Source organism: Homo sapiens, chromosome 1, assembly GCF_000001405.40.
Source record: "Homo sapiens chromosome 1, GRCh38.p14 Primary Assembly".
Taxonomy (NCBI): domain Eukaryota; kingdom Metazoa; phylum Chordata; class Mammalia; order Primates; family Hominidae; genus Homo; species Homo sapiens.
In genome coordinates, this window is record NC_000001.11 from 201158898 (window position 1) to 201174438 (window position 15541).

The 15541-nt window shown below is 43.9% G+C and overlaps 1 protein-coding gene across 2 annotated transcripts in view, besides 1 other annotated feature; it reads right to left on the bottom strand.

The window, feature by feature from the left end:
- The window catches only part of TMEM9 (transmembrane protein 9), a 36787-nt gene extending 24126 nt beyond the window's left edge, over positions 1 to 12661 (bottom strand). For both annotated transcript variants that reach the window (NM_001288564.2, XM_011509386.3), the window contains exon 1: positions 12593 to 12661. The gene's annotated coding sequence lies outside the window, so the exon portion shown is untranslated. The remainder of the gene's footprint in view (positions 1 to 12592) is intronic.
- Positions 12351 to 12510: an enhancer, noted in NCBI's record as "active region_2310". NCBI's record gives its function as "activates an Ori minimal core promoter by ATAC-STARR-seq in GM12878 lymphoblastoid cells {active_cell/tissue: GM12878}" and the evidence as "EXISTENCE:reporter gene assay evidence [ECO:0000049][PMID:35858748]".
- Positions 12662 to 15541: the final 2880 nt, after the last annotated feature.

The following is a 15541-nucleotide window of genomic DNA, read 5'->3' on the forward strand; positions in this document are numbered from 1 at the left end:
CTCACTCCCTGTCCCTACCGTTGGTGCTCCTGGATAGGGGATGAGTGCTGTCATCACTCCCAAATGGTGTCTACTCTCCCTGGCATCAACTATATGCCCCTGCTTTTCCTCTAATCCCCACTGAAGCTTATCTGTCCAGTGTCTCATAACCTCAAGCTCCTATGAGATGATTGACTTCCTAATTTTTGCATTAGCAACCATGTCTTAGACACACTAAAAGATCATCCAACCTAAACAGAGAACAAAGCTCAAGTGATAGAATACAGATATGTGTTAACACTCTCAAAGGGGCAGTAATGTGGGGGTACAAAGGAGCGCTTGACCCACCTCTTATAGGACATTGCCCTCTAGCCACAGATGGCAGGTCAGGTGCCTGACGATGTCCTTAAAATAGTATGGGCACCATCCTCAGATACCTGAGTACCTCTTACCTCTCTGGCCACAGCAGGATTTCTCAGGCATCAGGGAAATGGGGGCACTGAGCTAAGGGCAGAGAGCGCCCTGCTGTGTAGTACCCTTTTCTAGCTGGGCAAGGCCCTGGACAAGCACGCTGTTTTTGGCTGGGGTCCCCACATTTGCCTTTTTATACACACACACACACACACACACACACACACACACACAGCTCTCTCAACACCACTTGACTAAAGCAACACTTAAGCAAATAGCAATTAAACCTTTTTTTTTTTTTTTTTTAAAGAGATGAGGGTTTTGCTGTGTTGCCCAAGCTGGTCTCAAACTCTTGACCTCAAGCGATCCTTCTGCTTTGACCTCCCAGTGTTGGGATTATAGGCATAAGCCCGTACGCCTGTCTGAATTACATTTTAATTGAACAAAACTTAGAATAAAAGCATTATTCTACCTAAAGCTTAATAAATGACAAACTCTACCTGGTTTACTATTTTTTTCTATATAAATGCACACACAGATGTAATATGCACACTCATATTTAAATTGATATACTAGACCCAGTTTATGTCAGGCATTCTACCAGCAGTTGCCCATTAGCTACCCTGATGTGTACAGTCCTGGGTGCTACATGTTCTGCTCCCTCTGTTGTATTTTTCCTGGTTCAGCTCCCACCACTGCATGTGCTCTTTTGGGTGTAGACCTCATGGCACTGCATAAATAGAGGATAACAGCTAACTTTTTGGTTTCAGTGTTCTTAACTTCATCAAATATCTTGGGTTTTTGTTTTTCAGCTCGCAGTAGTGAGTAGGAGGCAGGGTAGGGTTATGGTAAGGCCCTGGGGCCAGAAATCATAAGTTCCGGCTTCTAGTTTGAACTTACTCCTGTCAAAGCACTAGTCCATTGGGCCTCAGTTTCCCCCTGAAAAGATTTGTTTAGAAGAGCAGTTTTTAAACTTTCAGGTCTTGTGTCCTTTTACATTCTTAAAAATTATTGAGGTTAGGCCAGGCATGTTGGCTCACGCCTGTAATCCCAGCACTTTGGGAGGCTGAGGCAGGCGGATCACCTGAGGTCGGGAGTTCAAGACCAGCCTGACCAATATGGAGAAACCCTGTCTCTACTAAAAATACAAAATTAGCCAGGCATGGTGGCACATGCCTGTAATCCCAGGTACTCAGGAGGCTGAGGCAAGAGAATCGCTTGAACCCAGGAGGCAGAGGTTGTGGTGAGCCGAGATCGCGCCATTGCACTTCAGCCTAGGCAACAAGAGTGAAAATCTGTCTCAAAAAAAAAATATTGAGGTTATACTGGGGAAATTTTTTTTTTTTTTTTAAAATCGAGGACCCTAGGGCTGGGCGCAGTGGCTCAGGCCTGTAATCCCAGCACTTTGGGAGGCTGAGGTGGGCAGATCACGAAGTCAGGAGATCGAGAACATCCTGGCTAACACGGTGAAACCCCATCTCTACTAAAAATACAAAAAATGAGCCGGGCGTGGTCGCAGGTGCCTGTAGTCCCAGCTACTGCGGAGGCTGAGGCAGGAGAATGGCGTGAACCCGGGAGGCGGAGCTTGCAGTGAGCCGAGATCATGCCACTGCACTCCAGCCTGGGGGACAGAGTGAGACTCTGTCTCCAAAAAAAAAAAAAAATATTGAGGACCCTAAAGAATTTTGTTTATCTGGGTCCTATCAATATTTGCAGTATTAAAACTAAAACAGAAAATTTAAACATATTTATTTGTTTTGAAATAACAATAAATTCATTGTATGCATAAGCGTCTTTTGGTCAAAAAAACCCCTATATTTTCCAAAAGATAAAATTTAGCACGAAGAGTGGCATTAATTTTTTTTTTGTATATCCCCTTACCATCTGGTTGAATAGAAAACAGGTGCATTTTCACATCTGGTTCTGCCTTCAGTCAGTTGCAATATCACATGTCATCTAACCTTCCGAAAACCCCACTATATGCTTGTAGGAGAATGAGTGAAAAAAGCAAATAACATCTTAGTATTTCTAGGAAAATAGTTAGAACTTGTTTCCCTAAAAGAGCCTTGGAGACCCACAGAGTCCTCAGACCATACTTCAAAAATGGCTGGTTTAGAAGGCCCTAAGTTTCCTACCAGATCTGATACTCTGAAGTGTTTCTGATAATACTCTATGGTAGCATTTTTCAAAATACACTTCAGGGAATATGCTCCCAGGAACAGTATCATAGGATGTTATTGTATGTGGGATGCAAACTGTATGTGGGGAAAATGTGGTTTCTATGAATAAATTAGTTCGGGGAACCTTAAAGTAAATGAAATAGGCATATTTTACTTCAGGACTTTTCAGATGCTTTGATGTGATAAAACATATTGTGAATCCCTTACAATACATTATTTTGTGTAGTGTTTCCCCACAGTTTTGACCACAAACTCTTTTTCGAAGAGCAGCCTTCAAGGCTAGAGTACCAAGGAACACACTTTGGGAAGTGCTGCTCCAGTGACTTCTAGATCCTTTCCCTGAGTATTAACAGATCAGGTTCTATCATTTGGAAGCAATTTTCCTCTAAATAAAATTCTACTTATGCACTTTTTGGTTTTTTAATGCAGAGACTTTATGATAGCCATTTCTAAGGCTAAGAGAACTTCAAGTTACTAAAATAGATAAGGGGCATTTTTGCTGAAAATTAAAGAATATTAGTAACTATGTGAATAGTAGTATATATTTATAGGGTGATTGAATAATAATTCCATGTATTGAGCATCTACTACATGCCAGGAACCTTTTAATACATATGAGTGATCAAGAGTGTGTGGTATTAGTGGAGGTATAGACATATAGAACAGAGAACCCAGGCATAGATCTAAACAAATATGCCCAATTGATTTTTTTTTTTTTTTTCCTGAGACAGGGTCTCTGTGACCCAGGCACAATCATGGCTCACTGCAGCCTTGACCTCCAGGCTCTTGAGTAGCTGGGACTATAGGCATGTGCTACCATGCCAGGCTAATTTTTTTATTTTTATTTTTTGTGGAGACAGAGTCTTGCTATATTGCCCAGGTTGATCTTGAACTCCTGGGTTCAAGCAATCCTCCCACCTCGGCCTCCCAAAGTGCTGGGATTCCAGGCATGAGCCACTGTGCCTCGCCTTATGCCCCATTGATTTTTGACAAAAGTGTATAAGCAATGAAGCGGAGGAAAGATAGCCTTTCAATGAATGGTGCCGGAACAACTGGACATACATAGGGAAAAAAAAAAAAAAACCCTGACTGAAGTCTCATACCTTGTAAAAAATATAACTCAAAAAGAATCATAGACTTAAATGTAAAACTGAAAACTTTAAAAATACTTAGAAAAAAATCATAAGAGAAAATTATTGGAATCTAGGGCTAGGCAAAGAGTTCTTAACACCAAAAGCACAATCCACAAAAGAAAACAAATGGTTAATTGGACTTCATCAAAATTAAAAACTTTTGCTCTGTGAAAGACCCTGTTAAGAGACGAGAAAGAAAATATTTGCACATGACATATCTAATGAAGGACTGGTATGTAATATATATGAAGAACTTTTACAACTCAACAGTAAAAAAAAAATACAATTAGAAAGTAGGCAAAAGACAGAGACATTTCACTAAAGAGGATATACATATGGCAAATAAGTACATGAAAAGATTCAACGTCACAGCCATTAGGGAAATGTAAATTAAAATAATGAAGGCAGAGTGTGGTGGCTCATGCCTGTAATCTTAGCACTTTGGGAGGCTGAGGCAGGCAGATTGCTTGAGCCCAGGAGCTAGAGACCAGCCTGAGCAATATGGCAAAACCCTGTCTCTACCAGAAATACAAAGAATTAGCTGGGTGTGATGGTGCACGCCTGTAGTACCAGCTACTCAGGAGGCTGAGATGGGACGATCACCTGAGCCTGGGAAGTTGAAGCTGCAGTGAACCATGGTCATGCCACTGTACTCCAGCCTGGGCGACACAGTGAGACCCTATGTCAAATAAAAAAATAAAAAACAAGGCCGGGCGCGGTGGCTCACACCTATAATCCCAACACTTTGGGAGGCTGAGGCGGGCAGATCACCTGAGGTCAGGAGTTTGAAACCAGCCTGGTCAACATGGCAAAACCCCGTCTCTACTAAAGATACAAAAATTAGCAGGGCATGGTGGCGTGTGCCTGTAGTCCCAGCTACTTGAGAGGCTGAGACATGAGAATTGCTTGAACCCAGGAGGCAGAGGGTGCAGTGAGCCAAGATCACGCCACTGCACTCCAACCTGGGTGACGGAGTGAGATTACGTCTCAAAAAATAGAAGTAAATAAATAATAAATAAAAAATATTTTAGAAATAAAAATAATGAGCTATCACTACATATCTATCAGAATGGCTAACTATGTATCTATCAGAATGGCTAAAATAAAAAAAAAATAGTGACAATTCCAAATGCTGGTGAGGATGTGAAGGGATTGGCTCACTCATACATTGCTGGTGGGGATAGAAAACGGCACAGCCTCTTTGGAAAACAGTTTGGCAGTTTCTTTAAAACTAAACCTGGAACTACCACACGACTCTAGGCAATTGCACTCCTGGGCATTTAGCCTAGAAAAAAGAAGACTTATGTTCACATAAAAACGTGTGCATGAATGCTTGTAGCAACTTTATTTAAAATAGCCCTAAACTGGAAACAACTCAGATGTCCTATTATGGGTGAACAGTTAAACAAACTTCAGTATGTCTGTACCGTGAAATAGAACTCAGCCAAAAACAAACAAAAAAGGAATCAACTATTGATAGATGCAACAACTTTGATGAATCTTCAGAGAATTATGTTGAGTAAAAATACCAATCCCAAAAGTTTGCATACTGTATGATTCCATTTATATAAATTCTTGAAATGGCAAAATTGTAGAAATGGAAAACACATTAGCAGGTGTTAATGAGCGGGTGGAGGTGGATATGACTATAAAAGGCAAAGTAAGGGATCCTTGTAGTGATGGAAATGTTTTGTATCTTGATTATGGAAACGTTAATAACCTGGTTTTAATACTGTACTATCATTTAATAAGATGTTATAAGTGATCTTTGTATATTATTTCTTATAACTTCCTGCAAATCTACGACTGTCTCAAAAGTTAATTTTTTAAAAGCCTACCTGAATTAGTCAAGATGCTAACTTGCAATCTAACTCAATTTTGCTTTGATTATTAAGCTGAGCCATATAAAATTGCCAGTATTTGACTGCTTTTGACTTACAAAAATGGTGGTTTCATATGGTTCAACCTAATAAAAATAATAAATAGTAATGCATTAGCACACATAACTGGGAAATTAATGTGTAGAACCAGCTTCAGGCACAATGGGATCCAATAGAGAAATGGTATCCTGAGGGCTCTATCACTGTCTCCATTTCTTGGCTCGGCTTTCCTCTGGGAACGTGCTTTATTCTCAGACAGGATCATTTCACACAGTTGGAAAGATGCTGCCAATGACCTCAGCCCCGCATTGTTGTGGCTTATGAACATCAAAGAAAAAGTGACCCTCTTTATCATAGCGTCCATGTGGCCAGTCTCAGGGAAGACTCTAATTGTCTTTGCTTGCGTCACAAGTTGATCCATTAACCGATTATTGTGGCCAGGTTGATGAATAACTCTGATTGGCAGTCTCCCTAGGGAGGGTGAGATACCGTAATTAACTCATGTCAGGCCCAATTGGATGCTAAGCAGGGAAAAAACAGATTGTTTGCTTGTTTTTCACAGGAATGGATAAGGAAAGGACAATGGGTAACTTGTTTTTTATTTTACTTTTCCAGTAAAATTTTTCTTTAATGAGGACACATCACATTTTATCACTTTTTAAGAGAAAATTATATATATATATATATATATATATATATTCATTATCATGAGGGTAATATTTAGGAGAGATAAAAGTCCAGGATGAGCTGAAGTCTGCCAAAAATTCTAAGAATACTCAGAAAGGGCTCTTTTATAAAGTTATATTAGTAACTTAGAGATAGAAGAAGGTATAGGTTTGCTACCTGGAGCCAAGGGTGTAATGCTCATGGTGAATACAGAAAAAAGAGAACAGAAATGCAGATAATGTTTTATGTCTATGGTTTCTGCCAAAGAGAATTGTCTTTTAATTTTCTTTTTCTTTCTTTTTTTTTTTTGAGACAGAGTCTTGCTCTGTCGCCAGGCTGGAGTGCAATGGCGCGATCTTGACTCGCTACAACCTCTGGCTCCCTGGTTCAAGGGATCCTCCTGCCTCAGCCTCCCGAGTAGCTAGGATTACAGGTGTGCGCCACCACGCCCAGCTAATTTTTGTATTTTTAGTAGAGATGGGGTTTCGCCATGTTGGCCAGGCTGATCTTGAACTCCTGACCTCGTGATCCTCCCAGCTCGGCCTCCCAAAGTGCTGGGATTATAGGCGTGTGCCACCGTGCCTGGCCAATTGTCCTTTAATTTTAAAGGGTGGGACCTTGCTTAGCCAGAATGGCAGACTGAAATGGAGGCCTTGATTGTAAGCAATTGTTCTCCACTCATGTCCCCTGATCACTTATGCATGGAGTCCTAATTAGGGAAAAGAAGTTAGACTGTCAGGAGCAGGGGAAAGCAAAAAGAAAAAGCAGATACGCTGTAAGTCTGCCTTTCTTCGTGGTCCAGGACATAGAGCCCTCCCGTGCAAATATCTCACAATCTTTCTGCGACCGACTTATCACCAGACCTTCAGCTGATAGAAAAATGCAAGTTAGCTCACTGCAACCTTGACATTATCAGTATTGCATGTAGCCCCCTCCAGCACACAGCACAGGCACCATCCTATAAAATCCCCGGCAAACCTTTGTCTCCTTGCAGTCAGCTCCTCTCTTGCTAATTTGTCCGTTGCTTTCTTGCAATGTGTTTTTCTACTTTCTCTAATAAATCTGCCTTTCTTTCCTATGACTGTCTTGGTATATTCCTTTTACCACCCACACCACTGGCCCCAGTTAGTTGGTCACTACCCACGATACTGTGTATGAGCTTCACAATCTTTTTCCAAGTCCATCTAGTATTGGACTTGGAAAAAAAAAGACTATGATTCTTTTTTTTTTTTTGATACAGAGTCTCACTCTGTCACCCAGGCTAGAAATGCAGTGGCATGATCTCAGCTCACTGCACCCTCTGCCTCCTGGGTTCAAGCAATTCTTGTGCCTCAGCCTCCCGAGTAGCTGAAACTGCAGGCACCTGCCACCATGCCCGGCTAATTTTTGTGTTTTTAGTAGAGACGGGGTTTTGTCATGTTGCCCAGGCTGGTCTTGAACTCCTGGCCTCAAGTGACCCGCCTGCGTTAGTCTCCCAAAGTGCTGGGATTATAGGTGTGAGCCACCATGCCCACCTGACTTTTTATAGTTTTATTAAAGACTCTTCTACCAGTGGTCAAAAGGGAGAAAATAAACCCTAGTCCCGTCATATATTTTGTTTTTTAATTTTTTAAAATGGAGGTATAACAGATCTACCATAAAGTATATAAGCCCCAGTGTACAGCTGCATGAATTTTTACATTGGAAAACTCAGGTCTAGGAGCCAGGAACCCTGGTTCTGCCGCAGCTCTGCTGTTAAATCTCTGTGTGATTCTGAGCAGGGCAGCTCTTTCCTCCTGAATTTGTTTCCCTAACTGTAAAGTGAGAGCACTAAACAAGATCACTATTTTACAAAGTGTGCTATGTGTATGCAAGTTGATTCTAAGTGTATTTGGGAGAGATTTTATTTTGATAGAGATGTATTTTTTTATTTTTTAAACCTTCATATTGAGTTACAATTTGTATAGGATAAAGTATACAAATCTTAATTGAAGGGTTCAATGAATTGTTACTATAACCGCCTGATGGGTTTTTCCTTCCAGCTGTACAAACAAAATTCCTGAAGACCGTGGCACTGCAGTACACAAAGAGTTTAATTGATGCGGGGCCAGCCACGCCACGCGGGCGACAGAGTTATTACTCAAATCAGTCTCTCTGAAGGCTCAGAGGTTAGGAGTTTTTCAAAGGTAGTTTGGTGGGCAGGGGGCTAGGGCATGGGGAATGCTGATTGGTTGGGTCGGAGATAAAATTATAGGGAGTCAAAGCTGTCCTCTTGGGTTGAGTTGCTTCTCCATGGGGCCACAGGGGCGGCTGGCGAGTCCAGGTGGAGCATGGTGTTAGACATGGAAAAAACCTGAAAAAGCTGTTCTTGGGTTCTACAACAGTGACGTTATCTGCAGGAGTCACTGGGGAAGTTGCATATCTTGTGACTTCCAGAATAATGACTGGCGACCATTTATGTCTACACCTTAGCTGAATTCAGGCTTCTCTATCCTGCTAGCCTGGTGGTCTCTCATTAGCTTTGCAAAGGTGGTTGAGTTTGGGGGATAGGCTATTATCCTTTAAACTATAAACTAAATGTCTCCCAAAGTTAGTTTGGCCTAAGCCTAGGAAAAATTAAGGGCAGCTTGAAGGCCAAAGGCAAGATGAAGTTTAGCTAGATCAGATCTCCCCTACTGCCATAAGTTTCTTACTGATATAATTTTTGCAAGGATGGGATTACCTTTGCATAAACTTGTGTAAATATAGATATAAATCATTCCCAGTTCCCCCAGAAAGCTCTTCGTGCCCTAGTTACTACCTTCACTGTGAAGGTAACTAGTATTCTGAGTTTTTTCAACATAGATTGGTTTTTGCCTGTTTTGAACTTCCTGTAATTAAATCATACAGTAACTACTCTTCATCTGTGCCTTGCTTTTCTGGGTCATCATTATGTTTGTGAAAATTATCCATATTGTTCTATGTAGCAGTTCATTCATTTGCATTGCTAAATAATATTCCATTGTATGAATATACCACGATTCACTTATCCATTCTATTGCAGCTGGACATTTGCATTGTTTTCTTTGGCTATTGTGAACAAAGCTACTACTATTGTAAATGTCTTTTGGTGGACATGTGCATTCATCTCTCTGGGGTATATACCTAGGAGTAGAATTGCTGAGAAATAGGGTTCTCAGTGTTATCCCCATACACAATCTTGTATGAATCTTGTATGAATATACACAGGTGTATTTTAGGGGAGGGAAATAAAGATGATCTTAAACTTTTTCAGATTCTTACAGGGATTTTCTAATTTTAAAAGGTTTTTAGGCCAGGCATGGTGGCTCACGCCTGTAATCTCAGCACTTTGGGAGGCTGATACAGGTGGATCACTTGAGGTCAGGAGTTCAAGATCAGCCTGGCCAACATGGTGAAACCCCGTTTCTACTAAAAATGCAAAAATTAGCTGGGTGTGGTGGCGCATGCCTGTAATCCCAGCTACTCAGGAGGCTGAGGCAGGAGACTCGCTTGAACCTAGGAGGCAGAGTTTGCAGTTAGTTGATATTGCACCACTGTACTTTAGCCTGGGCAGCAAAGTGAGATTCTGTCTCAAAAAATTAAAATAAAATAAAAGGGTTTTTGTGTCCTGGTAAACAATCCTGGGGCAGGGGGCATTATTTTTATTTTTATTTACTTATTTTCTAGACAAGGTTTCACTGTGTCACCCAGGCTGGAGTACAGAGGTGCTATCATGGCTCACTGCAGCCTTGACCTCTTGGGCTCAAGTGATCCTCCCACCTTAGTCTCCCAAGTAGCTGGGACTCCAAGCTTGTGCCATAATGCCCAGCTAATTATATTACTTTTTTTTTTTTTTTTTTAGAGATGGGGTCTCACTACGTTGCCCGAGCTGGTCTGAACTCCTGGGCTAAAGCGATTAGAGGGAGGGTTTTAGAATGCACACATTTGTGTAAAGAACTTAGATGAGGAGAGAGCACATGCTTAGAAAATTGCGGAAACTGCAAAGCTGTGTGTAGGTATAGAGGTGGGTTGGGGAGGAGGGTACAGGAGCAGGGAATATCAGGATCCAAAAAGATACTGTAAGGTTGAAATGAAGGCTGAATCTAAGTTTCCCACTTACACAAATATGAGAGGGACAGGTAAAAGTAACTGAGGATAGCTTAGTGAATAGTACGAGTGTAACGTGACTGACAAGAACAAACAAGCTAATTTGACCTCAGGCTGAATTAGAGGAACTTAAGACCTAAGAACTCATTTTCTCTAGAATAAGGGTAGTGGTGATCCACCCACTCTGCACCAGTAGCCTACAGCTGGGTGCTCTGTTCCATGTTACGGACACATGCTCCAAGGAACACAGACCAGAATGCATTTAGAGGACAGTGGCCAGTATGGTGTATGGTAAAGGCCTCAAACCCTGCCACATGAGGAACAGCTGTAGGAAATGGAACATTGTCCTGGGAAAGAAAAATCTTGGTGGTGATAGCAGTCTTTGGCTCTCTGAGGGGATGTCATGTGGAAGAGAAATGAGTTGCCCAGAGAAATTTCTTGCTATCAGTGAGGGTGTTCACACATTTTTTTTTTGGATGAGCACTTGCTGAAGCTATTTCAGAGGGAGATTAAATATCAGATGAAAAGTTTGATGAATGACTCTGAGTTCCCTTTTAACTCTGAGATCCTGTGAATCTGGCTATGTGACCTTGACTTGGTCACTGAACTTCTTGGAACCTTAGTTCTTCATCTTTAAAATAATAGGTAGACTAAGGATTCTTTAGTGCTGAACACAATCTACTGAATTGCTTCCCAGAGAAGCTAGGTGGTGTTACATATTCCCAATCTTCAGCTGTGACTCCTGCAGTTAAGGTGCTTTGGTCTTAAGCAACAGAAACTGACCGTTTAAGGAAAAAAAAAGAGTTTGTTGGAAAGAAGTGGGAAATTCATATAATCTATGAAACGACTGAAGAACAAGACTTGAAGAAGGCAGAAACCAGAGCTTCCTCCCCTGGCATGCCATGGGGGTGCATTGGCTGTGATGGATTTTTCCCTTATTCTCAGGTCACTATTCAGCATTCAAAGTCCAGATGACAGAATCAGTCCCTTGGACCTAAGTTGGCCTCAAGCCTGCTCCTTGGCAGGAAGGTCAGGACACCTTGATTATCAGCCCAATGTCATCCCCCAAGATGAAATCAAAAGCTATTACTAGAACAAGAGCCAAATAACATGTACCCTACAACCTCCACCCTTTTCTCTTCCATTTATGACAGCACATCAGACTCAAGAGAGTGAGCAGCATTATAATGGAAATAATCTTCAATCTATTTCAATTTACCTTTAAAAGTGAAAAATGCACTCATCTGGATGCTCAGTTTTTACCAGTAGTAGCCCACATGACATGTCATAACTGGGTGCTGAAATGCTGACAAGTCTGAGAACACGACTCCCCTAGGAGACAGACACGCTGACGGGCTTGAGCATTCACAAACAGATATCGGATGTCTGCTATGTGTCAAGCCCTGTGGTAGACACCGAGACTCATTAAGTCAGTGCAAAAAATGGAAAGGTTAAATATTTGCCCCGGGTAAACGCAAAGGGCAAGTGTATTGCATCAGGGTTGAACAGGGTGGCGCCGGCCAAAGAGGGATTCCTTTCAGGCCCGGGCCTCGCAGTCCAAACGTGGCCCGCCCTAGCCCCACCCCCTAGTGACCGCACACTCCAGCCGTCCAATCCCGTCACCACCCCGTCCAGTCTCCACCCCGGGAGGCTCCACTCCGGGTCCAGGCCGCCTGGGGCGTTTGCAGTCCTCTGTGGGAGGTGGCGTCCCGCAGAATGAGAACATTTCTGTGCCGGGCCAGCAGGTGTTACCTGAGTAAGATTGAGATTCTCTCACCAGGCGACAAGGCTTGTTGTGCCCGAGACAGGCACAGCTCAGATTCCCTCCCCGTGGTAATTAACCCGGGGAGAAATGTAACCAATCCCCGAGACTCGGGCCTCCAGCCAGCCGCCCGCTCGCTCCGTCCTTCCCCACCCGGGAGCCGAGCCTGGAAGGATTGCGGGGGGCGGTGCGGCAGGTGGAGGTGGGAGAGTTTGAAATGGATCCTGGCTGGGAGGACTTCCCAGGCCCCCTGCCGGACGGCGGGCTAAAAGCGTGAGGCGAAGGTCGTGGAAAGCCCGCTGGGACCCACCGCGGGGGTGCACTGGCCGCTGGGTCCCAGGCGCCGCGGCGATTTACCGCGCCTGGAGGTCACCGCTCCGCGTCCCAGGGAGGGGCAGGAGGCTGGGTCCTTCTGATCCCAGAAGACATAGCAGCACGGAGACACTAATCCGCTGTTTTTACACATAAACACTTCACACGAGAGAGATTACGTACCTCACATTGCAGTCATAGAGGGATCTGTGGGTGTTAGAGGCTTTCAGCTCCTGCTCTCGGGTGCATTGTGGGACAGAGCCTAGCAGGGAGGGAGCAGAGGCCGCGGCAGCCTCTCGGGTTCTAATCTCCCACCTGCCGCTCGCCCTAGATCATGACGTCACCCTGGACCTCAGTTTTCTCACCTGCGCAGTGGGTTAAGCTAAAACCTGCGCCTCTCTGCCTTTTGAGGATAAAACTGAGACTCCGAAGAGTGTTCGGAAAGAACACGTCAGGAGTGTGCAAGGGTTTCTTTGAATTGTGGATCTCACATCCCTGTCTGGCCTGCACGTTTACTCACCAAGGAATGCCAATTTCATTGTTTTTTGTTTGTTTGTTTGTTTTTTTAATGGTGATAATTGACTTGAAGGAAACCAAGCTAATTACTTGGCTGGATGAGTGTAGAGAGGCAGGGGATGACCAGGTGGAAGAGGGCTGCTGCTTTGCAAAGATTCTCTCAGGGAAAGAAGGAATGGAACTAAGGCCTGGAGTGTGATTTTTTTTTTTTTTTTTTTTTTTTTTTTGGTAAAGATTCCTGTATTCAGAACCGCTCTTAAGTCTGCCGAGTAGAGTAGGAGACTAGGAATCATTTTGAACCAAACCTCTCATTTAACAAATAATGAAACCGAGGCCCAGATAGGAGAAAGTGACTTACCCAAGGGCACGCAGCTGTTGGCCAGTTGGCTCTGGGATTTCTTTGAGGCTGATTGAAACTACCTTCCTTGACCTGGACTTTAATTTCATCTCGCCTAGGCTCCACTCCATGTGAAACCAGGTTTTAGGATTTGGGCTTTTCCCCCAAAGAATTCATGGAGTTGTTTCCTGCTTCCAAGGCATTTTGAATTCCTCTGGTTAAAGGTGTACTCTCTGTCACTATGTCTCTCAAACGAGGCAAGGCAGGAGGTTTCGGGGGTTAAGGAGTAAGTACTCACTGGTGTGGAATTTAGCAGAGGTGAGATTTTCATGGGCACTGTGTACTTTATCAGTTTACAACTTGCTGTTAATAGAGGCCATTAATCACAGCCAACTGCAGCTGGCTTAGCCTGGGACAGGGACAGTCCAGCCATGGTTAGGAGGGGCAGGCGCAGCAGGAGTAACCAGGGAAGGACCTCCTACAGTTACCCTTGAGGCCCGAAAATCAGTCCTAGGAAGAAGACAGTGGAATAAGTGCTCCCAACATGAAGACACTGGCACATATAAATGGTCTCACGGTCTCCGGCTGAGTCCTTCCAAATGACCCAACCTGTGTTAAATGCCTAACACAGTGTCTGACACACATTAGGTGCTTAATGAATACTCTGGAGTTTGAAAGTCCTTGCCCCAAACATCAAGATATCATTTTATTCCCACTTTACAAGCATGGAAACAGAGGAATAGAAAGGTTAAATTATTTCACCCAAGTTATAGAGCAAGGAAGGGGCAGAGCTGGGATTCAAACCCAGACCCTCTGGCTCCAGAGTCCATCCTCTGAGCCACCCAGCAGGGATGGGCCTGGGAAGAACTTACTAACAGTCTAGTTGTCAGCCTCAGACTCCGTCCACCCAAAATATCCTTCCTCCCTCCAGCTGGGTGTGTGCAGCTCTTGCTGGAGAAGGGGTGATCAAGATGACCTCTGGAGGCCCTTGAAGATTTACAATCCTCCAATCCCCCCCTGGAGAATTCCCCCCTCTCAGACTTCACTTGCTTCTCTTTCTGTACTGTCCAACAGGCCGGCCTGGGCCTCCTGACTGAGTTCAGCTGTCATTGTGGGACAGAAGAGGAGTGTGCAAACCCTGCAGGATTAGGGGTGCTGATGAGGCAGCCATCAGAAGACATCACTTGACAGGGCCTCTCTATTTCATGAGTCACAAGGGCTGAGCATGGAGCCCTCTTCCTGCTCCTCCAGAAGCCCTGGCCTCCCCGTGACCCAGCCCTTCTTGTTTCCACCTGATGCTTCTCTCACAGCTGCCATGATTTCATAATCTTTTGTCATAACCTTCCACATCATCCCTCCATCATCCGGTCTCAGCTCACACAGAGGGCTAGGAGGTGAAAAAGTCCACTTCCTGCTTCTCTGCTGGATGACCCCTTCTCCATGCCCAACTGAGAACTCTTCTTACAAATCTCCATAGAAGGGGGTTCTTCATGTTTCTTGTCAATGTTTCTCAGTGTTGACAACTTATAAGGCCGGGGTATTTGGTGAAATGGAATTTCTGGGGGCAGGCTTTCAGGGATTTGTTGGGGCATATATAAGGATTTAAAGTATTCAGATAATCTAGCTCAGGGGTCTGCAAACTTTTCCTGTAAAGGCCTAGACAGTGAATATTTTAGGCAGGTTATACAAGTTCTGTGGCAACGACTCAGTTCTGCTGTTGGAACACAAAAGCAGCCACAGGTGCTATGTAAATAAATGAGTGTGGCTTTTTCCAATAAATTGTTATTTACAAAACTAGGCTGTAGACCAGGTTAGGCTTGTGGGCCATAGTTTTGCTGGCCTCTGATAGAAGTGGTTTAAGGTTGGGGCCTGGGTGGGCACCCCAGGGGAGAGCAGTGGGTAATTTCTGTGTAATGCCATTGGCTGCCTAAGGTGCACCCTGGACCTGCACAAGGATGGGGTACCTCCCTCACCCATCCTACCAGAGGTCATCAGTGGACAGAGGGCGTTGGGGAGCACTACCCAAGGGTCAAGATTGCTCTTCTGTAATGGAGCTGTGGGATGCTGTGTCAAGAGGGTGGAGACCCATAGGTCTTTTTTTTTTTTTTTTTTTTTTTTTTTTTTTTTTTTTTTTTTGAGGTGGACTCTCACTCTGCTACCCAGGGTGGAGTGCAGTGGTGTGATCTTGGCTCACTGCAACCCCCACCTCCTGTGTTCAAGCGATTCGCCTGCCTCAGCCTTCCAAGTAGCTGGATTACGGGCATGTGCCACCACGCCTG